Consider the following 22,922-nt stretch of genomic DNA (forward strand, 5'->3'; position numbering starts at 1 on the left):
CTTAGTGAAATATTAGCTGACAAGGGTGTGAGGACTTCCTGGCTTAAGGCTGGGCTTAGGGGGTAGTAGTTCTTAAGACTGCCTTTGGTGCTGAAGTCTTGGGATATACCCTGGACCCTGCCTGTACCCCATGACCCCACTGACTACCTATCCTGCACAGATGTGGACGAGTGTGCCGAGGGCAACGGCGGCTGTCAGCAGAGCTGTGTCAACATGATGGGCAGCTATGAGTGCCACTGCCGGGAAGGCTTCTTCCTCAGCGACAACCAGCATACCTGTATCCAGCGGCCAGAAGGTCAGCCCATGACCTGGGATGGCCCCATCCCTGCCCTCCCCAGGCTTCTCTTCCCAGCTGTCCCTCAGCAGCCCCTAAGTCTCACCCTCCATTCTCAACTCAGCTAGCTCCTTCTTCTCTTGTCCTTCAACTCAATCACACCCTAAAGGATCTAGGAACAGACACCCTGTTAGGGCAAAATCTGGGGAAATTACTTTGAGGTTGGGATCAATATGGGATTAAGGCTACTATGGAGTATCCTCTGTGTCCAGACCTGAGGTGGATGTTGTCCCTAATTGTAGATGGCTGAGCTTCTCTAAGCTGCTGCCTATCTGAGAGGGCCTCACCATATCTTTTTCCTTGGATTGGCATGGGAGGGTCAGGCAGGAATAATGGGTTTATATTGGCTGTTTCTATGACTCATGCCCCCCACTCCCACTAGACTGTGACATCCCTGAGGGCAGGGACTATGTCTAACTCATTGTTGTATCCCCAGCACCTAACATACTGCCCTGCGTGTAGTGAGAGTTTAATAAATGTTTGTTGAATAAAATTGCATAGTAAATATCTATACCAATTACCCTCCACTCTCATTGTAGATCTGATTGCTACTGATCTTCTTCCCAGTTTGACTGTAAGCTCTTTGAGGGGAGTGATCACACCTTGTATTTTTCTAGGACCTTCCTAAATCCACCCCATCTCCAGCACAGTGCTGGACACCTATTATACACAATGTTTTGGTTGTTTAAAGGAAAGGGTGATCATTCGTTGGGATGAGTATCAATAGCTAGCTAGTTATACATCATTCAGAACAGCTCTGTGCTCTGCTCATGAGCACCCAGGTCTGTGGGGAAGACAGGAGGCCTGGGACAAGGAGAGTCAGTCCCCTCGTGTTGAATTCAACCTCAGTAGAATTCTCCCAGTTCCCTAGGTCCCCAGTTGCCCCCTGTAGTTTTTCTTTTCTAGACATCCAGGGGTACAGAGCATTCACACCCCTTTCTTCTCTTTTAGAAGGAATGAATTGCATGAACAAGAACCACGGCTGTGCCCACATTTGCCGGGAGACACCCAAGGGGGGTATTGCCTGTGAATGCCGTCCTGGCTTTGAGCTTACCAAGAACCAACGGGACTGTAAATGTGAGATAATTGGGATGGCAGGTGGGGCAGTGGGGTCGGGGGTGAAAACATAGAGGAAGGGTATAGGGCTTCAGGAGCAAGAGGACAGGGCTGGGAGGAAAAGGGAGTATGGGGGAGGCAACTAGGCAAGGGGGCCAGTACCCACATTGTGGAAAACTGTGGATGCAGGGAGGAGCAAGCTGACAGGGCCCTGTCCTCTCTGTGCACAGTGACATGCAACTATGGTAACGGCGGCTGCCAGCACACGTGTGATGACACAGAGCAGGGTCCCCGGTGCGGCTGCCATATCAAGTTTGTGCTCCATACCGACGGGAAGACATGCATCGGTGGGTGAGGCCAGGGGAGAACTCAGTCCACCTGAGATGGGGTGGGGGTGGGACCCTTTGGGAACCAGGGAAGTGGAGGAGTGCATGGGGCCCAGGTGCTGGGCACAGAGGGACTGGTGAGGGAGTTAAGACCCAGAAAATGCCAGGTCTAGTAAGGGACAACTCAAAGAGAGACTGAAGGGCTCCCCAGCCCTCTTCCCCTCCCCATCCCAGTGGTTTTACCACCCTGTTCCAGGAGCCTCACCACCCTCTTCATCCCAGGACAAAGTGTTGCCAAACTGGGAATAATTAGCAGAGTTGCTTATTGACCAAGGCTGTAGTTGAGAAGTGGGAAGAGATCTGGGGAAATGCATCTGCTTAGGCCTGACCAGAGGCCCTTGGTTGACTAGTGTGATAACAGAGGAATTATCAAAGCCCAGTGTCCCCACTCTGCAACTGAGGGTGGGACAGAGTGCTCCTTCCTGGAACAACCATCCCTGAACTGACTGACAGATGGGGTTTCCTGGCTCCAGGTATCTTTTTCCTCTTTATTCCTTCTCTCCTCACTCTCCTCCTGCAACTCCCCTTTCTACTCACCTCACCTTACCCCCCATTTCCTTCTCTCTCCTCCAGATGCCAGTGGTACTCCCTCTCAGCTCCACCAGCAACCCTGTTTCTTCCTCACCAACTCCAGCCTTCCATCTCTTACCTTGATTTGAGGTCCTCTTAATACCTGGATCCCTCTTCCTGAATTCTTAGGCCTTATCTCACATATTTTCAGGTACCCTAGATGAGTTTAATTCCTTAAAGTTAATTCCTAATTCCTTTAGCCTTTAGGTCTTTAGTGCTGAGAAGGATGATGGAACAAGGTTTCCCCTTGGAGAAGGGGGAAATGAAAGGAAGAGGTTTGGCTGAGAGAGAGGCTGTGTCTTTAGCCAGGCAGGGCATGAGCTTGCTGTGTGGGCATAGGTGTTTATGAATGACTGTCCATCTGGTGGGCTGTGGCATGCTGAGGATGGGGGTGTGTGAATCCAGTCACTGTGTATGAAGTTATGTATATCAGAGACATGACATTAACTGAGGAACTAGACTTTCCAGGGACCTGTCCCTTTCACTGCAGGAATAGGAACTGGAGAGCAGATGATGCTCTTACAGGGCTCCCTCAGGCACTTGCTCCAGAGACTGGCACATCCATTTCTAAAGTCCCTATATAATTAAAATCTCCCCTGCCACGTTTCCCTCTGAATTAACTCTTCAAAGACCCCAGAACATTTTTAGGCTCTTCTCATTGCCTTCTTTGGGCTGGTGTGTTTCAGCTCCTTTCATTTTTTACTCATAGGTCTAATTATTTTGCTTTTCAAAGCTCTCACCACCTCCTGGACACATTCACACATCCCCAGTCTCTCAAAAGAAATTGTTTGCAGTGCCCAAAGAAAAGATGCATGAGTCAGGGGCCAGGGATGTGAAGGTCTGATCCCTCTCTGATTTATTTCTGTTCAAAGTTCCAGACATGGTTGCTTCTGAAAACACCCTTACTGAGCTTGGGCTCTTCTCTAACTCAAGACCTGTTCCACCACTGGGCTGTGGCCAAATGAGGCAGAAAAGGCCAAATGAGGCAGAAAAGACCAAATGAGGCTATTCTGGGGTTTACAGCTATATTCTTTCCTAGTTCCTCTTCCTCTTCTCCAATAGAACTTATTTTACCTTGCCATATATCTAATTTTTCTGGCCATCCCTGGTAAGAGGAAACATCATTGCCTGGGGCCGTCAGGACATTCAGATTCGGTGGGAAGACTGAGAAGGCAGTATAGTTTAGCAGAAAGGGCGGCACCCTTTGGGATTTGGGATTTTGTGGTTAGTAAGACTTGAGGGTGCATCCCAGCTTAGGCTTGAGCATGCTCTGTGGTACTGGGCACATGGTTGGTTGCCCTTTCTGAGACTGTTTCAGTTTTTCAGTCACTTGCGGGGAGCTTGGCATCTTTGGGGATACCACCAGACAGGATAAGGATGAGGAGTGAAGCTGTCATAAGGGTCCCAGGGCTCATCATTTGGGGCTACTGGTTTGGGCTGGCAGTGGGGAGGAGAGGGTGGGGAGGGGTCCGGGGCCAGAGGGCCACAGTGGCTTCTGCCCAGCACCTAAACAGCTTTTTTACAATGTCAAACAGGGGAAAGGCGGCTAGAGCAGCACATCCCCACTCAAGCCGTTTCTAATGGTAAATATGTCTGCTCTCTCCGCTTGCTCTCACTGGCTTGCTAGGGGAAGGGCTAACCCGCTGGGGCTCCCACTAACTGCATGCCCACTGGGCCCAGCCTGACTGGGCCCCAACTTGCCAGCAGGGCTATCCTGGCAGCCAGGGCACTGGGCCCATTGGGTGACAAGAAACCTGAGTCCCTAAGAGCTGGCCCGGGAGCTTTCATGTTGGTCTCGTCTTTGTTCCTGTCACTCTCCTTCTGCCCTTCCTCTTCTGCTGTCTCCTCCCACACCCACCTTCTAACACCCCACCCCACTCCCAGCCATCTGCTCCCCACCCCCCTCTACCCAGCCAGCCTCATCTTCCCTGTCATGCCCACTGTGCCACCTGAGATAGGGGTGCGATAGGATTAGATGCCATCCCCTCCTTGGGGCTTCTTTCTTGGGTTCTTACCCACATTAGTTCACAGTCCCAGCATCACTCACCATTCTCTCCTACCGTAATGGCTAAGAGCATGGCATGTGTGTTCAGGCAGACCTGAGTTTGAATCCTGGCTCTGTTACTTTCTAACTGTATGACCTTAGGCAAGCTACTTTCCTCTCTGATCCTCAGTTTACTTTTCTATAAAATAACAGTCCTTCCTTAGGGTTGTAATGCTTGAGATAGTGCATGTAGAGCATCTACCTGGCAAGTGCCTGGCACAGCATAAGCACAGAGTAACTTGTGGTTTTAATATTGTGACCTAGAGAGCAAAGGGGTGAGACTATATGGTCCTGCTGCCCCACCCTGCTCTCAAGAATGCCGTCCTGCACAGGTGGGCGGCTATGCCCAGCTTTCTGTCCAGCCTGGGATGGACATTGTGCCAGCTCTGCTATTCCGTATCCTACATCCTTCAGAAGCTATCTGGCCTTGGCATAAGATCTCTGTGCCCCTCCCCCTGCTCCTGGGCTTAGTGGACCTCTTCTTATGCTAAAAGCACTCTTTAGCGGGTGGCTAGCCTTGGAACCTGAACTCAATGTTCCCTACTAGGTTCCTCCCATGGTCTTGGAGAGCCTCAGGAGAGACTAAAGTGGAAATGGCACAGACGATATCCCACTCCAGGTTGGGCTGTTCCACACATGGGCATTTGAGGGACCAGGGCATGGCCAGGGACCCATAGAGTTAGGCTTCTTTTGGAGCCCTGGCCTTCCTGTTCTCATTGGTGACAAGAGTTGGGCCTGAGTGTGGGGAGTCAGAGACTTAAGAAGATGACAGTACATCCAGTACTGGTCTTATTCAATTCCCTTGATTCTGAGAACCATTCTTCTATCTTCCCTAGTGGAGGTCTTGGGATTCTTTCTCTCTAATGGGAGAATTCTAGTCACCCCAAGAGGACAGTATGCACCACCTCCACAGTCTCTGTATCAGGGGCCTTCACTGTTTGAACTAATGGCTTTTCCTTGGACACATCTGACTTTCCCAAGCTACCATTTAAACCTGTTTTTCTCCTGCTGTGAATTCAGAAAATAGGGAGAGTGACCCATCGACACTCCTCCTACTCTGACCTTTTAGTGAAAGGGAAAACTTACCAGTTAAGAGGGAGCAGCATAAGAGACTTAGCTAAAATAAGGATTTAGGTCTTATCTAGCTCTGAGGTTCTCTAACTCTTTCACTAACCTTTTTACACCCTTCCTTCTCCTCTGGATTCTTCTCTTTCTTTTGCTTCTCCCCTCTCCTATACAACATCTCCCCATTAGCAGAGTAAAACAACAAAACAGCCAGCTTATCTCCATCTAGAACTAAAAGGAGGGTTTGGGAGGAGTTGAAGGTAGATTAACCCAGTATGTGCTACCTCCTCTGAGGATGAGCAGTCAGTCGATCCTGGAAGTGGGATCTTTCTTAAGACAGCTAGGCAGCGGGGAAGGGGAAGATAAATTGATGGGTATCCTTCAGTTGCCTTAGGAATGGCCCGGCTCATTCTTTCCAATCCACTTACAATAAGATTGTCCCACCACAATCCCCACCCACCCACCAAAGACATAGTGGAAAGAGGAAGAAACTCCTATCTGTCCCTTCTGGTTCCCTGGCAGCCAGAACCACCCTCACTTAGCTCCCATCCCTCCCTACTGCCCCCCGCCCCACCTCCTCCACCCCCTCGGCACATTCCTGCCTGACAGCTCTGGCTTGTACCTGCCTCACTGCTGTCCACCTTGTTTCAATCAAGTAGGGGGCAGGGAAGTGGACTGCTTGGCTGTACTTGTGAGGGGATGGGGGTTGGGAGTGATGGGAGGAAAGGGGCTGGGAGCCTCCCTTGGCTTAATGCTCCTTCTAAAGCACAGAGAGGCAGCTGAGGCCTTCCCTCGGGCCTCTGTGGTCTCCACTACCCTCAGAGTTTGGGACTCCTCCAGGCTTGTAACCTCATTACCATCCCCCACTTCCCTCCTAAACAGAGACCTGTGCTGTCAACAACGGGGGCTGTGACAGTAAGTGCCATGATGCAGCGACTGGTGTCCACTGCACCTGCCCTGTGGGCTTCATGCTGCAGCCAGACAGGAAGACGTGCAAAGGTAAGGACTTTGAGAGGACAGAAGCAGAGTGACCTTTGGTAAGGGGCTGAGGTTGGGACCAGAGATAGGGTGCCTATTAGGGGATGACACCTCCTCAACCTCCTTCTTATGAAGAACCCAGGACATAGCTAAGGGTTGTCTCCTATCTGCCTGTTTCATCTCAGTTCAAGGGACAGAGAAGTCCAGCCAGTTCCTTAGTGCCCCCTTCCCCTACCCCACCTTGTTTCCCTACTCTCATTCCTATCCCCCATGGGTCCCTAACCCTCTTAGTTAATGGACATGCGATTCACATTTGCTCCTGGGTCTGGAAGGATATTTGAGCCCTGACTGTGTGTGTGCATGAGGTCACAGGTGTGTTCCATAACCTTCTTACCCCACATTCCTCAGACCTTCCCAGTGGGCTCTGGGGAAATGATGTCTACCCCTCGAAAGGCTGTACTGGTCAAAGGGAGAGTAGGATACTAGTTAGGAGGACTGAAGCTGGGTTCAGATCCCAGCCCTGTCTCCTACTAGCTCTGTGATCCTGGACAAGTCACTTAATGTCTCTGTGCCTCAGTTTTCCATAGTGCTCGCCTCATACTGTGTTGTGATTAAAAGAGTGATTACATAAAAAGTACTTAGAACAGTGCTTGGCAAATGGAAACACTTTGTGTTAACTGTTATTACAGTATAGTTACCCACATTATGCATTCTGTTTCCCTTCCTTTTAATTAGCCAGGTCTGAGGGAGAATGGGGGGAAAGGGTGGAGGAAAAAGGCAGGGTAGCCATACTGAAAATGATGATTCATTAGGTCCATATCCCCTGGTCACAAGGAGTGGGGACGAGGAGGACTGGGCTCGTTCTTTGTGTCTTTTGGCCCAACAGCTGCGAGAGGAGGGGGGAGGCTAGGGCAGCAGGTCAGCCAGCCAGAGTTGAGAGGTTTCCTGCTGGGAAGAACTGTTGACAGGTATGCTAAGAGTGAAGTGAAAGGCTGCCCTCCCTGCCCCTTCCCCCAACCAGGGGTGAGTAGCCTGGGTCCTGTCTGCCACCAGCTTGGGGAACTTGACCTCAGGAAGGAAGCCATTCACCAGCCCCCCTTTCCCTTACTAGTGCTGAAAGCTGCCTCAGGCCTGAGTCTCTCCAGATCTCTCCCAGTCCAGCCCCTTGCCTGGCCCCCAGCCCTCCCCCATCAGCTACCCAGCCTCACTGGCTCTCCTGGAGGTCCTCCCTGCCTGGCCTCTTTCCCAGCTCCTCCTCCTCCCTAAAGGGCTGCCCGTTTTCAGTGAGTCCCTTTAGACCCTCCACCTCTCCTTGCCCCGCACCCCCCCAACCCCCCGTCCTGAGGGACAGGAAAGAGATAACCCTTACCCACCAACCTTTCAGGGAATGGCCATCAGCTGGAGACTAAGGGCTAGCCTGTTAGGTCAAATGCCCACCTGCCCCTCCTCTAGGTAATTCCCTGAGGGCCTGTTCCTAGTTTTGGTTCCAATTTGTCCCCTTATAAGAACACTCAATCCCAGAAGAGAGGGTGTTACTAATGGCCACAGATCCCCTGAACAGGGAAGAAACAGAGACAGGAAAGAGAGAGAGAGACAGGAAAGAGAAAGAGAAAGAGACAGAGAGAGATCAAGAAGAGGCAGGCCCAGGACTCCTTGATTTTTGCATGTCTCTGTCAGTGAGGGAGGGATCTTTCTCCTTGTTTGTTCTCAGCCTTTGATAGTATCTTTTATCCTGTTTTGTCCTCCTTCTTCAGATATAGATGAGTGCCGCTTAAACAACGGGGGCTGTGACCATATTTGCCGCAACACAGTGGGCAGCTTCGAATGCAGTTGCAAGAAAGGCTATAAGCTTCTCATCAATGAGAGGAACTGCCAGGGTGAGCAGACTCAGCCAAAGGTGAAAGCCTTAGGAGAGGTTCTTGTGGGAGAGCTTCAAGGAGGCCAGAGGGCTAAAGTCTTAGAAACTCAATAGATATCACACAGAGTCTCTAGAGGCAGTGTCATCCTGCAAATTAGCAAATGGTACTCTTTCCCCTCAGCGGACTAGCTCCATATCAAAGCATTCAGCCTGGCAAGGACTGAGGGATGGATTTCACCCCAATTCATATCCTTGGCAGAGTAGGACGTACCTAACCACACATGGTGGGCCCTGACCTAAAGGCACCAGATCTTGCAGTTCCTAATTCCAAGGACTTCAAATAGAGGGGGCAGAGAAGATGGAATGGCATTGTTAAATCACTGGTCCTAGAGCTAGGACATGAATAGGAACTCTTCAGTTCAAGGGGGAAAGCCAAGGCCCCTCACTTGGGTCCTTCACCTGAGCAAGGGTCAAGTGCTCCAAGACAGATTCAGTGGCTTGAATCTTTGCTCTTCCAGATATAGACGAGTGTTCCTTTGATCGAACCTGTGACCACATATGTGTCAACACACCAGGAAGCTTCCAGTGTCTCTGCCATCGTGGCTACCTGTTGTATGGTATCACCCACTGTGGGGGTAAGCTAGTAAGCTTGCACCCCCAGCCACCCTGGCCCCCTCACCTCTTCACCCTCCAATTGAACAGGTCCTTGTGTTGGCTTGTGGCTATGGGCAATCCCTGGATGCATGCACCATGTCTGCATCCGCTGTGACAAAATAGGAGGAATTAAGACAGCTTTTGAAGAACTGGGAGACTGCGGAAACAGCATCCTGCCTCCAAAATTCCTATCTCCCATTCCTATAACTGTCCCTGAACCCCCACTCTCAGCTCCCAAATGACAGTCTCACTGGTTGGGAGGAGTGGAAGGCTTTAAAAAGCTTGTTGGCTTGGCCCCTTCTCGATCATTCCTTTGGGGACAGAGATAATTGGAGGAGGTTTGAGCTCTTCTCAGGCCAGTAGTCATCTTACAGTGCCTAGAATGCCTTTTTAACTTTTTTAAATTGTAAGAATATTTAACAAGAGATCTACCCTCTTAAGTTTTTAAGTGTACACTACAGTATTTATGTGCCTATAGGCACACTGTTGTACAGTAGATCTCTCGAACTTATTCATCTTGCGTAATGCAGGGTACCTGAAACTCTAACCAAAGGCCCTCACTCACTGCCTACTCTCCGGCTCCTCCTCCAACTCCATCGTTGTTTTTCTGTCTCCCTACTCCTTCCCCCAGATGTGGATGAATGCAGCATCAACCGGGGAGGTTGCCGCTTTGGCTGCATCAACACTCCTGGCAGCTACCAGTGTACCTGCCCAGCAGGCCAGGGTCGGCTGCACTGGAATGGCAAAGATTGCACAGGTGGGCAGTGCCCTCTGCTGGCCAAAGATGACACTGCCATTTCAGGGAGCAGTTGGGGTTCTGGAAAGCATAGAGTATCACATTGGGGAAAGGTGTGAGGTGGAAAGGGTGGAGAATGTAGCCATTTTGAGTTAAAGACATGAAATTTGTAGTAAACAATCCCATCATCAGTCTCCATGGGTACAACAATAGTTATGCAAGTAGCTGATTCCTCCAAATTACCCAACTGAGGGAAAGGAATGCATTCATTTGCTCAGGCCTCTCTCCCCTTCCTAGAGCCACTGAAGTGTCAGGGCAGTCCTGGGGCCTCGAAAGCCATGCTCAGCTGCAACCGGTCTGGCAAGAAGGACACCTGTGCCCTGACCTGTCCCTCCAGGGCCCGATTTTTGCCAGGTACATGGGAGGAGGGTGCTGGAGAGCTTTGGAGGAGAAAAGAGGAAGGACTGGCCGTTCAGGCAGCTCCTTCATTCCCCCTGGATTCCTCCAGCCAGCGGGGGTTGGGAAGGCAGGTCAGAACTGTGACAGGCTCCTTTTCTCAGAGTCTGAGAATGGCTTCACGGTGAGCTGTGGGACCCCCAGCCCCAGGGCTGCTCCAGCCCGAGCTGGCCACAATGGGAACAGCACCAACTCCAACCACTGCCATGGTAAGCACCAGCCCAGAAGCCCTGTTCCCACCCTACTCTCTTACATTAATCCCTTATTTTTGTTCTTCATCAATCCCCTGGCCTTCCTTTCTCCTGGATCCTCTTTTTTGCCCTGTAATTCTCCAACCCTGCTCCCTCACTCCCTCTGCCCTAACATCTGATCCCCTTGACTTTCATAATCTCACTCCCCCAGCCAAGCCCCTGGCTTATTACCCAGCTTCTCAACAACCCCTACGGCACCCCCGACCTCCATGGGCATCCCATACTGTGCTGAGTTTCTACCATCCCTCTAGAGGCTGCAGTGCTGTCCATTAAACAACGGGCCTCCTTCAAGATCAAGGATGCCAAATGCCGTTTGCACCTGCGAAACAAAGGCAAAACAGAGGAGGCTGGCAGAATCACAGGGCCAGGTTTGGACTGGGGACCCCATTCCAGTTGGCTGTCTGGCCACTAAATCCTCCTTACCCCTCAGCTCCTCTGCTTCCAAAAACCCACCAGAACCCTGAACTCTAGGCAGAGCAGAGGAAAAAGCAGCTGTAGGCATAGCACCCAAGGAAGTCCCAGAATATTCCCCTCCACCAACTAATTAGGACCCTAGACTAAAACAGGATTGAGAGATAGTTACAGTTAGAGATCTGGGGAGGTCTGTCTGGGCTGGGAGTGAGAACTTTCCAGGGGATGTCCCTGGGGTTGACAAGCCCTCTCTCCCAGGTGGTGCCCCCTGCTCTGAATGCCAGGTCACCTTCATCCACCTTAAGTGTGACTCCTCTCGGAAGGGCAAGGGCCGACGGGCCCGGACCCCTCCAGGCAAAGAGGTCACAAGGCTCACCCTGGAACTGGAGGCAGAGGTCAGAGCCGAAGAAACCACAGGTGGGACTGGGGGCACTGTTGGGAAGAGGACTGGAAGGGGAGGGCAGAGGTGGGGAAACCACAGGTCTCAGCAGCAAAAGGAAGGGATGGAGCCTGTACTAGGGGCAGACCCTGCCTGGTGCCAAGCCTAAAAGCTAGTCCCTCTTACCATGCCCCTCCTAGCTCCCAGCTTTGCTCCCCTGCCCTCCTGCTCACAGCAACTCTTTCTCCTCCCTGATACACACGGCCATCCACCACCAGCCAGCTGTGGGCTGCCCTGCCTCCGACAGCGAATGGAACGGCGGCTGAAAGGATCCCTGAAGATGCTCAGAAAGTCCATCAACCAGGACCGCTTCCTGCTGCGCCTGGCAGGCCTTGATTATGAGCTGGCCCACAAGCCGGGCCTGGTAGCCGGGGAGCGAGCAGAGCCGATGGAGTCCTGTAGGCCCGGGCAGCACCGTGCTGGGACCAAGTGTGGTAAGGGAGCTTACTGGGGAGCAGGGATGTAGGAAAGACCCAGTTTGGGCCTGACTCAGAGCAGGACCCTTTGTGGCCTCAGATGCATTTCTCAAATTATGAGGCAGCCAGGATGCTCCTGCCCGCTGTCCTCCCTTCCTTGGTTCCAGGCTGAAATCTAGAAGGATGCCAGGTGGGGCCAGCAATCCTCCTGCACACGGTTTTGACCCTCCTATCCCCCCAAGTAGGATTGTGTTTGTTCCCTGACAGAGATTCTCCCTGAATCGGGGGTTGTGGCGGGGAGTGGGAAGGGGAGTCCCAGGCCTGGGTGGTGGGAAATGCGGGGGTGGGTGGCTAGCGCGGCCGACTCTCCCTCAGTCAGCTGCCCGCAGGGAACGTATTACCACGGCCAGACGGAGCAGTGTGTGCCATGCCCAGCGGGCACCTTCCAGGAGAGAGAAGGGCAGCTCTCCTGCGACCTTTGCCCTGGGAGTGATGCCCACGGGCCTCTTGGAGCCACCAACGTCACCACGTGTGCAGGTGCCAGGGGAACAAACAATACAGAGTGGGGTAGGGTGGGCACTGGGATGCCCATGGGCATGGGATTTCCCAAAGGGCAGGCCCAGGCTCCAGGCCACTCTCTTAGTCAACATCCTGTTTGTATACCTTTGTCCCCTGAGATCGGGTGACCCCATGGGGATGACTCAGGACCATCCCCATCAGAGTTGGGCCCTTGATTCATTGCAGGTCAGTGCCCACCTGGCCAACACTCTGTAGATGGGTTCAAGCCCTGTCAGCCATGCCCACGTGGCACCTACCAACCTGAAGCAGGACGGACCCTATGCTTCCCTTGTGGTGGGGGCCTCACCACCAAGCATGAAGGGGCCATTTCCTTCCAAGACTGTGACACCAAAGGTGAGTAAGCTACTCACCTCCCTGGGGGATGCCCCAACCCCAACTACTCCCAAAAAACTCTCCAATTTCCCAGAGGGGACACTGACCCACCATTTTCTCCAAACCAGTAATGGGCCCAGCTACTTGACCAACCATACCATCCTGCTTCCAGGACCCACCCTGCCCCTCCACTAGTCCCAAGCTTGGGAACTGAGAAATAATTAACAGTCCCACTTACCCCTCCACTTTGGAGAACTGGTGGCATATTCTCCTCCATATCCCAAATGAGTTTCTATATAGGTTTGGCACTGTGCTCAGCGTCTGAAAGAAAAGGATTGGCACTGTAGCCAACCACTCTGTAAACTCTGTTTTTCCGTGGGCTTAAATTCTGGCATGACTGGGAAAGATTGAGACCCTAGAAAAGAACTTTGATGTATCTGATCTCCTGATTCTCCAGGATGAATGTATCCTGTCCATCCCATGCCCCGTAACTCCCACCTGCCTACCATCTTGATTCCTGCCCTTCTCCCTTGCCTACAGTCCAGTGCTCCCCAGGGCACTACTACAACACCAGCATCCACCGCTGTATTCGCTGTGCCATGGGCTCCTATCAGCCCGACTTCCGTCAGAACTTCTGCAGCCGCTGTCCAGGAAACACAAGCACAGACTTTGATGGCTCTACCAGTGTGGCCCAATGCAAGAGTACGTGGCAAGCCAGGCTGTGCAAAAGGGAGGAGAGAGGCCTGGGAGCAGTGGACATCTAAAGGAGGGGTGTGAAACCAACAGGGAGCAGGGCTGGGGGGTGGAGGAGCAGGAAAACTCCACCTTCCACCTCTCCCCAACTCACTCAATCTCAAGGCCAGTTGCTAGGCTGGACCCTGTAACACCCTCTCCCTGGAGACAGTTAATGAGGAAGCAGAGACAGGTGAAGTGAGAAGAGAAGGTACTAAAAGGGCAGGAAGGAAGATGGACTCAGAGCTTGGAAAATAATGATGAACTAGAACGCAGACTTCCCATAAATGTCTGACCTCTACTTCAGAACTCTTCAATTCCCCCAGCACACTTCCCCACTGACTTCCCTTCTCTGTCTTGTTTTATCCACTGGGGTTTGGCTGCAGATCGTCAGTGTGGTGGGGAGCTGGGTGAGTTCACTGGCTATATTGAGTCCCCCAACTACCCGGGCAACTACCCAGCTGGTGTGGAGTGCATCTGGAACATCAACCCCCCACCCAAGCGCAAGATCCTTATCGTGGTACCAGAGATCTTCCTGCCATCTGAGGATGAGTGTGGGGACGTCCTCGTCATGAGAAAGAACTGTGGGTGGCTTGCAGAGCTGGGCCAGGGAAGGGCAGTCCAAATCTGGTTAAGGCGGAGAACAAAGAGAGAGACTGATACAGGAAGAAATGGGGCAGTGAAGTTAGGGATCTATGAGGGTGAAATAGTGAGAGGCCTTTAGGAAGAGAGAAGCTAACAAAGGAAAACAGCAATGACACATGTTTGGTAGAAAACAGAGTTAAGAAAGCTAGCAGTGGGGCTAGAACTCCAATGGCGTTACATGTATCACTTTCCTATCCTAGCATTTTTGCCATTCCATTCATTTAAATGTCATATTTATTACACTATGTGAGTGCCCAGGTATCAAGGAGGAATTGTGGAATGAGCCCAGTGGGCAATGGGAGAGGGTGTGGGGTAGGGTGTGTGTATGCGAAGGGGGAGCCTTTGTCAGAATGATTCTCTTGCCCTATACCCCCACCACCAGCTGTACAGCCCACGTTCTAGGAGGGCTTGGGTAGCCTGCCCTGCTGCTCTACTGACCTGCTGCTTGCCTTCCCAGCATCCCCATCCTCCATTACCACTTATGAGACCTGCCAGACCTACGAGCGTCCCATTGCCTTCACTGCCCGTTCCAGGAAGCTCTGGATCAACTTCAAGACAAGCGAGGCCAACAGCGCCCGTGGCTTCCAGATTCCCTATGTTACCTATGATGGTAAGCCAAGGAGGTGGGTGAGAAGGGGAGGTATGTCAGTTTTGAGAGGGAACCAGGAGAGCAGGAAGAGCTCCCGCCCCTGAGCCCCTCACCTTGGTTGACTTTGCAGAGGACTATGAGCAGCTGGTAGAAGACATTGTGCGAGATGGCCGGCTCTATGCCTCTGAAAACCACCAGGAGATTTTAAAGGTGAATGAATATTAACAATAATGATAGCTAACATTTAATAAGCATGTAACAATATATAGGCAATAGGCTAAGTGCTTACATGAATATTCTCACTTGATAGACACAATAGCTCTATGAGGTAGGTGCTTTCTCCATTGCTTCTTTACAGATGGGAAAACTGGGGTATAGAGAGTTAAAGAACCTGCCCCATGGGAAGCTGGGATTTGAGCCCAAGCCTATCCGACTGCAGCGTCACCCACACTATATTACACCTTGGGGAAAACTTGGAAGAGAAAGGGAAAGTGAGGAGAAGAAATGTCCCTACCTCTTCCAAGAGACATAGGGAAAGTGAAGTATAGAAAGATACTTTTGCATAAGTCCCTTCCTTCCCCTATTCTCTCCCCAGGCCTCATTAAGCAGCAGCAGATAGGCTGCGTGTGGTGGTTCACGCCTGTCATCCCAGCACTTTGGGAGGCCGAGGCGGGTGGATCACATGAGGTCAGGAGTTTGAGACCAGCCTGGCCAACATGGTGAAACCTCGTCTTAATTTTGTAAAAATACAAAATTATCCGGGTGCGGTGGCAGGCGCCTGTAATCCCAGCTACTCAGGAGGCTGAGGCAGGAGAATTGCTTGAACTCAGGAGGCGCAGGTTGCAGTGAGCCGAGATGGCGCCATCGCACTCCAGCCTGGGTGACAAGAGTGAACCCTGTCTCAAAAAAACAAAAACAAAAAAAGCAGCGGCAGATCTAGCACAGCTTTCTCAGAATCAATTTATGTACAGACTTCTTTTCAAGGAAAATAAATACTTCCAACATGGAAGAATGGACTAGATGCCCTGGGTCGGTGAATCCCAATTTAAGAAAATCTTCCTTAAGAAACTATAGTCTGGCTGCGCATGGTGGATCATGCCTGTAATCCCAGCACTTTGGGGGGCTGAGGCGGGTGGATCGCCTGAGGTCAGGAGTTCCAGACCAGCCTGGCCAACATAGTGAAACCCCGTCTTTACTAAAAAAATACAAAAAATTAGCTGGGTGTGGTGGCGGGCGCCTGCAATCCCAGCTACTCGGGACCCTGAGGCAGGAGAATTGCTTGGACCGGGGAGGCAGAGGTTGCAGTGAGCTGATATCATGCCATTGCACTCCAGCCTGGGCAACAAGAGTTAGACTCAGTCTCAAAAAAAAAAAAAAAAGGAAACTATAGTCGTAGTCATAGAATTATCCTTCATAAATTATCACTGCAAAAAAGTTAAGTGTTAGCAAAATATTTTTATATTATCATCAAAATAAAAGCCTTGACAACAAAAATCACCTAGAACTTGCAGACTTCAAAGAATATACTTTTAATAATACTTTTCAAACATTTTTAAAGCATCTGAACCCTTATTTCAAATCAAATGTACTGTGGAATTCCAACACATAAAGCAGTGCAGCTGTTCTGATTAAAGTGGGGTAAGAGGCTGAAACCCCTACTTCTTATTTGAAAAATCCACTGACGCCATGGAAGGAGCACCAGCCTAGGAGCCAGAAGACCTGAGTTTTAATGCACAGTGCCTGGCACCTAGTAGGCTCTCCACATACCATGCTACTGTTGTAGACAGGGTGGTCAGGAAAGGCCTCTAAGGAGAAGAGACCCAAATGAGGTAAAAGGGCTCCCCATTAGAAGATGAGGGAGGAGCATTCCAAGCTAAGGAGCATGGGAGCAATTTAGTGTGTTCAGGAACCTCCAGAAGGCCAGTGTGGCTCAGCAGAGGGAGCAAGAGTGGAGGTGGAAAGCAAGATACAGATCACATTCTGCCAATGAGTGATAAAAGAAACCAGAGAAGAGTTTCAAACAGGAAAAAGATGAACTAATTAAAAACACAAAAAGTCACTCTGGCTGCTGTGGGGAGAAGAGTCTACGGAGGGACAAAGGTAGCATGGAGACCAGTTAGGAGGCTACTACAGTACTCCAAGTCAGAGACAGTGGTGGCTTGGGAAGATGATAAGTGGTCAGACCCAGACATATTTTGAAGGTAGAGTCAATAGGATTTGCTATACTTGTAAGCAAGAAAGAGGATTCAAGGATGGCTCCAAGGATTGGGGCCTAAGCAACAGAAGGATGGAGCTGCCACTGATTCAGTTGTGGAATTCCAGAATAAGGGCAGATGGTGGGAATGGGAATCCAGAGTTGCCCTCTGGATATATTCAGTATAGGATGCCTAGTAGACATCAAGAAGGGCTGCTGAGTCATGGTGTTTCTCTTTCCCACCCCCGACGGTGAGGCTGACATTGCTCCCTGCCATCCTTTGCAGGACAAGAAGCTCATCAAGGCCTTCTTTGAGGTGCTAGCCCACCCCCAGAACTACTTCAAGTACACAGAGAAACACAAGGAGATGCTGCCAAAATCCTTCATCAAGCTGCTCCGCTCCAAAGTTTCCAGCTTCCTGAGGCCCTACAAATAGTAACCCTAGGCTCAGAGACCCAATTTTTTAAGCCCCCAGACTCCTTAGCCCTCAGAGCCGGCAGCCCCCTACCCTCAGACAAGGAACTCTCTCCTCTCTTTTTGGAGGGAAAAAAAAAATATCACTACACAAACCAGGCACTCTCCCTTTCTGTCTTTCTAGTTTCCTTTCCTTGTCTCTCTCTGCCTGCCTCTCTACTGTTCCCCCTTTTCTAACACACTACCTAGAAAAGCCATTCAGTACTGGCTCTAGTCCCCGTGAGATGTAAAGAAACAGTACAGCCCCTTCCACTGCCCATTTTACCAGCTCACATTCCCGACCCCATCAGCTTGGAAGGGTGCTAGAGGCCCATCAAGGAAGTGGGTCTGGTGGGAAACGGGGAGGGGAAAGAAGGGCTTCTGCCATTATAGGGTTGTGCCTTGCTAGTCAGGGGCCAAAATGTCCCCTGGCTCTGCTCCCTAGGGTGATTCTAACAGCCCAGGGTCCTGCCAAAGAAGCCTTTGATTTACAGGCTTAATGCCAGCACCAGTCCTCTGGGGCACATGGTTTGAGCTCTGGACTTCCCACATGGCCAGCTTTCTTGTCTATACAGATCCTCTCTTTCTTTCCCTACGTCTGCCTGGGGTCTACTCCATAAGGGTTTACAAATGGCCCACAACACTGAGTTAGTGGACACCGGCTAAATGAGGAAGAGCAGCAGGCATTGTCATGGTGAATGCCCCGCTGTAGCTCCCTGAGAGAAAGACTGTAACTCTGCAGGACAGAAACAAGGTTTTAAAGCATTGCCAAAAAAAAGAAAACAGAAAGAAAAAATGTATCATCTAAAGGACTAGACACAGAACAATTGGAAGTCAACTTCAAACACTAATCCCTTTTCTTGTCTTCCCTGGCCCAGCCACCTCCTCAGCCCCATGTGATGCTCCCTGGGGGAGCCCTACTCCCCTTGCTACATGTTGTCCTTAAACATGGTTATTGACCTGAAGCCAGCCTAGGCCTTGCCCTACAGTTGTTTTTCCCTTGTAGCCCCAGCTGGCTTGTGGGCTTCACCAAAGAGGACCCCACTCTGAAGCCAGCCTGGAGCCACCTACCTCTGGCCTCAGGCTGTGGGCAGCAAAAGGAATGTGTGTGCACTTGGCGAGCCTCCTGCCCACCCTGTCCACACCTAATAAGTGCAATCATTTTGAGTCTTTCTATGTTGTCTAGACGGAGGGGTTTTTGTTTTCTGGGTTTGTTTTTTGTTTTTGTTTCTTCTTCCTCTATTAGCAAAACCCTATTTATAGCTGCCCAAGAGAAAAGAGTGTATGTTTGGAGTGGAAGAAAATCGGTTTTGAATCTCATGAACCTTGAGTGCTGGAGCATCTGATCTGTCTCTATGCCACCACTGGCCACCTAGAGCCCTTGGCTGTGGTAATCCAGGGTAATTGCGCAGAGGCATCTGATGTGTAGGAAAGTAATTCTGGGGATTTGATGGAGCAGAAAGGAGAGAGACCTATGTTTGCTAAACCAATCTTGCTATCCCTATGCCTCTCCATGGAGTCAGTGTGGACCTCATGATTATAGAGGCCAATGGAACTGGTCAGTGATTCTCTACCCCAAGTAGGGAAAACCTCCATCTTTTCCCTGTCTTCATCCTGTTATCCCCTGGTGTACACATGGAAGAGGACCAGGACATACCACCTGGGGATGGGCTGACTCAGGGTCCCGAGGCCAGAGACAAAGCTGTGGGAGCCAAGAATAAGACAGAAGGCATCAGATATTTGCCTGGCTCTGGTCACTTCCCTTTGAAGTTGACTTCAAGCTTAGCTTCCTCAACTACTGTTTTTCAGAAGGAAGAAAGAATCAAATGGAAGAAGAATCAAGTCCATGCCCAAGCCCAAAGCCTGCACACATTCTGCCCTTAATCCAAGTGTTGCCTATAAAATTATTTTCTGTTTTCTCACTCTAGTTCCCCCAAAGCTGTAGTCCCAATCAATCAAAGGCTACCAACTGAGTCCTCAGGTTCATTTCTTTTTTTTTTTTTTTTCTTTTTAACTCTCCTGGTAACTCACAGAACAGCTCAGGTTCATTTCTAGGTGACTGTCCTAGGCTACTGCTCCCCCAGGAGACTCAACACTAAATAAAGGAGTCTGACTCCCTGCCCTCCCATCAGTAGCATTCATCAGCCAAAACGGCCATAGCAGTAGGTAGCCAATGACACAGCTAGATTCCCTGACAACCATTAGCCAACATCATGGTCCTTGTGGGTAGAGTGTCTGGCTACCTTTGTCTTTCTGGGTCAAGGAGGGCCACTGTAAAGATGCAAAATGGCTGCTTCCAAACAAGGGAAATGGTCATTTAGTATGAGTGTCTCTGTACTTCCCAGGAAGCACCATGAAAACTGCTTTAATCAACTCTGACTATCCTAATTCTCCACCAGAAGCTAGGATAACTTTCTTTCTTTCTTTCTTTTTTTTTTTTTTTTTTTTTGAGATGGAGTCTCGCTCTGTCACCCAGGCTGGAGTGTAATGGTGCTATCTCGGCCTACTGCAACCTCCGCCTCCCAGGCTCAAGCAATTCTGCCTCGGCCTCCCAAGTAGCTGGGATTACAGGCATGCGCCACCGCGCCCAGCTAATTTTTGTATTTTTAGTAGAGATGGGGTTTCACCATGTTGCCCGGGCTGGTCTTGAACTCTTGACCTCAGGTGATCCACCCGCCTCAGTCTCCCAAAGTGCTGGGATTACAGGCATGAGCCACCGCGCCCAGCCTAGGATAACTTTCTGATTCCTCTCTGCCAGCCGTTTTGCGTCTCTTGGAAAGCCAAACGGTGACCATGCTTCTTAATTTATGCCTTCAGGGTCTGGCTTCTCCTTTCTCCCTTCCTTTCCTGTCACACCATGCATACATACATACAAATACACATCCTTCAACCATTTATTCCATGGCTTATGAGACCTGCAAATGAGTTCCACAGTACGGAAGGCATAGACCACTAGGCTTCTTAATTGATGTCAAGGCAGATCTTGGTGAGCAGGTAAAAACCTGCTATTGTCCACCAAGTTTAATTTAGGTCCTCCAAGTTGGAGGGTTAAGAACCCAGGCAAAGCTGCTGCTGAATCTATGGAGGAGGCTGGCCCTGGGACATCAAACTAGGGGTTAACTGGATTGAATGAGGAGTCAACGCTCAGGGACATTCTAGGTCTTTACAGGTCAGACAGAAGAGAGGTTTTTACCATTGGAGGGAAATGGAAAGATGGTATAAATAGGATCCCTTCATGAAGCAACCCAGAGGCCTCTCTGCAGCGTGTAGGGTGTGGGGCGACAGTATTGTGGGGCTTCCATTCATCTTAGTACAAAACCTCACCTGCTCTGAGCCTGGAAATGGGAGGGCTTCACGCACCAAGTAATGCACACCAGAAAGGCACTTATATCCTCAGCAACATGGCAGTTCCTCTTTACTTCTCTGCCTCCCTCTTTCTATATTATCAGGCCATGCCTATTCCTACAACCTGAGACAACTCTTGGAGTCAGAAGAAAACTGACCAGATCCTGGATCTGAGCTGCCTGCTCCAGGCCTAGAAATCCCCAAAGGCTGGCACTGAGCTGTGACTGCTTTAACAGCCCCCAAGATTTGGTCAGTTTGAGGTGGTGGAGACTCAGATTTGTTGCTGAAAGTTCAGTAACACAGTCCTGGTCTTTGGCCCTAGAGAAACTTTTTATATGAGAAGTGTTCTCTATATACATGTTTGAGGTGACTCTGGAATGGATTATGAGGTCATATCTCAAAATGTCAGAAAACGTTATAGAGCACTCGAACTTTTGTATTTGCTGCTTAACCTCAATATTACAGCCACAAACAAGGGGTACCAAGACAAAGTATAACTGAGCATAAGCAGAAAATGTTAACCCTCCAGGTTTCTTTCTTAAGCACAATAAAAGTGGGAGCGAACAACACAAGGATATTTTTACATTTGACCCGTCTCAAAAGTAGCACACCCTATCCTTGTGCCATTATTTGTACAAGGAAATATATGATTAGAAGGAATAGAACCCCCAGTTGTCATCAGCTTTTTTAGACACCACAGGTTGTAGCAGTTTGAACAAACTGAAAACTTTATACTTCTGTGTGAGCTGAACTCAAGTTTCAGAATAATCATCGCCATGTGGGAGGCTTTTTGTTAAATGCAGAAGAAATTTCAAAATATTGTATTTATATCTGCCTTCCACTGCTGCCAATTTAGTAAGCATCTCCTATACAATCGACAATAAACAGCAAATGATGCAGTTCATAGAGTATTTTGCACTTGGGGAAAAATATGTATCTGAATTGTAAAAAGAAATGTTTGGATTTTGTATGTCTTTTTTATTATTATTAAAATACTAAATGAAACTCCTCAGCCCGGCATCTTTTCCTCTATCTCAATAGCTTATCCCAGAGCCAGAAAAAGCCTTGAGGAGACAATGTCTTCTGGCTTCCAGATAAAACTTAACCCAAATTTTTTGGCAACTCATCCCTAATGATTTTAAAATTTGAAAAGGCTTGTCTTTTCTCTGTCCTTAAAAGCAGCATCAAGTATTATCTCCTGAGGGGGATCTAAGGAGTGGGGGAAATTTATTGTTCCTCCTCTCCACAGTACAGTCCACAACAGCTGGCCAGCCCACAGGTGGTTCAGCACCTCCCTACTCAGGATGTCCCACCTCTAGGAAAGCGCCAGCACTGAGGGTCACCCAGTGTCATTCTTTGTATGCAGTACACTCTTAGCCACCAAATAGTATTGTGAAATACAGATCATTTAGTCACTACCACCATCACTACTCCTACAGGGCAGGAGAAAGCAATCTCCAATCTCTATTATAAATGAACAGTCCCAATTTCTAGGCTCAGAGATATAGATAAAACTTTGCTGTTGCAATTATATAATTCCCTTTCATGAAATTTTATTGGATTTAATATCTACATGATATAGCCATTTAAGAGTATAACTTGAGCAACAAGGAAAAATCTACCTGATCAAAAAACATGTGGGGTGGCCTATCAGAATCTTAAACTTACCCTTTAGCATCTATAATGAAGATACAGATGAAGTACATTCATTCCATAATTACTGAGATCCTATTATATGCCAGGTAGTGAGCACCTGCTCATCAGCTTATTGACAATAGCCATGCTCAAGATCCACACTCCTCATGTAACTTTCTGATTATAATTGATCTTCCCAGATAAGATTTACCCAACAGGAGCGATAATCCAGTTCACTTGGTGGCTGTAAGTATAAAAGAATGCACTGGCATTCTATTATGTACATTAACTTCCTATGAGTTTGATTTAATGTGACAAAACATGAACACCTTTGTGTGGACTGACCCAAAATCACACTTCTAGAACTGCAAAGCCAAGGACCATATCCATGACCTTCACACTATACCAACTTGGAGCCATCCTCTTTGACTTCTCTCATAACTCACTTCTATTCTAAGAACAACACGTCTTCCTCCTTACTTCGTAGGACATTTGCTTTGGTGTCTCAAAATAATGGATAGTCAGGGACATTGGAGTTTGGATATGCCTATATTAAGAAGTCTTCCAAGTGGGGTAAATGAAGATTTTTCCTAGGGTACGTAAGACTGCAAGGAATACCCAGGAAATAGCCTCAAATCAGTCTGAGGAGAGTTTTAAAGGAATAAATTTCCAGATCCTCAACTTCCCTATAAAATATTTTCTAAAACCAGGCCGGGTGCACTGGCTCACACCTGTAATCCCAGCACTTTGGGAGGCTGTAGCGGGCGGATCGCCTGAGGTAAGA

At 49.5% G+C, this 22,922-nt stretch overlaps 1 protein-coding gene and 1 long non-coding RNA gene across 10 annotated transcripts in view, besides 4 other annotated features; one reads left to right on the forward strand and one right to left on the reverse strand.

The window, feature by feature from the left end:
* Positions 1-21,515, forward strand: part of SCUBE3 (signal peptide, CUB domain and EGF like domain containing 3) — a 39,124-nt gene extending 17,609 nt beyond the window's left edge. For 2 of the 6 annotated variants that reach the window (NM_152753.4, XM_047418382.1), the window contains exons 4-22: positions 161-295; positions 1,286-1,411; positions 1,621-1,737; positions 6,338-6,454; positions 8,188-8,310; positions 8,810-8,926; positions 9,577-9,702; positions 9,979-10,095; positions 10,242-10,346; positions 10,640-10,756; positions 11,058-11,216; positions 11,457-11,672; positions 12,030-12,191; positions 12,399-12,566; positions 13,086-13,247; positions 13,664-13,861; positions 14,380-14,532; positions 14,642-14,721; positions 16,992-21,515. In NM_152753.4, the coding sequence (NP_689966.2) occupies positions 161-295; positions 1,286-1,411; positions 1,621-1,737; positions 6,338-6,454; positions 8,188-8,310; positions 8,810-8,926; positions 9,577-9,702; positions 9,979-10,095; positions 10,242-10,346; positions 10,640-10,756; positions 11,058-11,216; positions 11,457-11,672; positions 12,030-12,191; positions 12,399-12,566; positions 13,086-13,247; positions 13,664-13,861; positions 14,380-14,532; positions 14,642-14,721; positions 16,992-17,141 (2,648 nt within the window). In that variant the 3' untranslated portion in view covers positions 17,142-21,515. Of the gene's footprint in view, positions 1-160; positions 296-1,285; positions 1,412-1,620; positions 1,738-3,881; positions 3,930-6,337; positions 6,455-8,187; positions 8,311-8,809; positions 8,927-9,576; positions 9,703-9,978; positions 10,096-10,241; positions 10,347-10,639; positions 10,757-11,057; positions 11,217-11,456; positions 11,673-12,029; positions 12,192-12,398; positions 12,567-13,085; positions 13,248-13,663; positions 13,862-14,379; positions 14,533-14,641; positions 14,722-16,991 lie in introns of all 6 variants that reach the window. The other 4 variants (XM_005248943.2, XM_005248947.2, NM_001303136.2 and 1 more) reach the window with 4 other exon arrangements.
* Positions 1-22,922, reverse strand: part of SCUBE3-AS1 (SCUBE3 antisense RNA 1) — a 39,086-nt gene that overhangs the window by 11,195 nt on the left and 4,969 nt on the right. Inside the window, exons 2-3 of one of the 4 annotated variants that reach the window (XR_001744102.2) lie at positions 14,625-14,695; positions 12,784-12,866 (exon numbers count right to left, since the gene is read on the reverse strand). This is a non-coding gene — a long non-coding RNA (SCUBE3 antisense RNA 1). Of the gene's footprint in view, positions 1-7,143; positions 12,867-14,624; positions 15,209-22,922 lie in introns of those variants that run through there. The other 3 variants (XR_007059559.1, XR_001744099.2, XR_007059558.1) reach the window with 3 other exon arrangements.
* Positions 7,248-7,542: a silencer, noted in NCBI's record as "tiled region #1078; HepG2 Repressive non-DNase unmatched - State 23:Low". NCBI's record gives its function as "represses a minimal TATA promoter and a strong SV40 promoter by Sharpr-MPRA in HepG2 cells {active_cell/tissue: HepG2}" and the evidence as "EXISTENCE:reporter gene assay evidence [ECO:0000049][PMID:27701403]".
* Positions 9,679-9,808: a silencer, noted in NCBI's record as "silent region_17085". NCBI's record gives its function as "represses an Ori minimal core promoter by ATAC-STARR-seq in GM12878 lymphoblastoid cells {active_cell/tissue: GM12878}" and the evidence as "EXISTENCE:reporter gene assay evidence [ECO:0000049][PMID:35858748]".
* Positions 11,728-12,927: an enhancer, noted in NCBI's record as "CDK7 strongly-dependent group 2 enhancer chr6:35211069-35212268 (GRCh37/hg19 assembly coordinates)". NCBI's record gives its function as "activates an origin of replication core promoter dependent on BRD2, BRD4, P300/CBP, MED14 and CDK7 cofactors, with strong dependence on CDK7, by STARR-seq in HCT116 cells {active_cell/tissue: HCT116}" and the evidence as "EXISTENCE:reporter gene assay evidence [ECO:0000049][PMID:35650434]".
* Positions 16,228-16,667: an enhancer, noted in NCBI's record as "active region_24396". NCBI's record gives its function as "activates an Ori minimal core promoter by ATAC-STARR-seq in GM12878 lymphoblastoid cells {active_cell/tissue: GM12878}" and the evidence as "EXISTENCE:reporter gene assay evidence [ECO:0000049][PMID:35858748]".

This window comes from Homo sapiens, chromosome 6 (genome assembly GCF_000001405.40).
Source record: "Homo sapiens chromosome 6, GRCh38.p14 Primary Assembly".
NCBI lineage: Eukaryota > Metazoa > Chordata > Mammalia > Primates > Hominidae > Homo > Homo sapiens.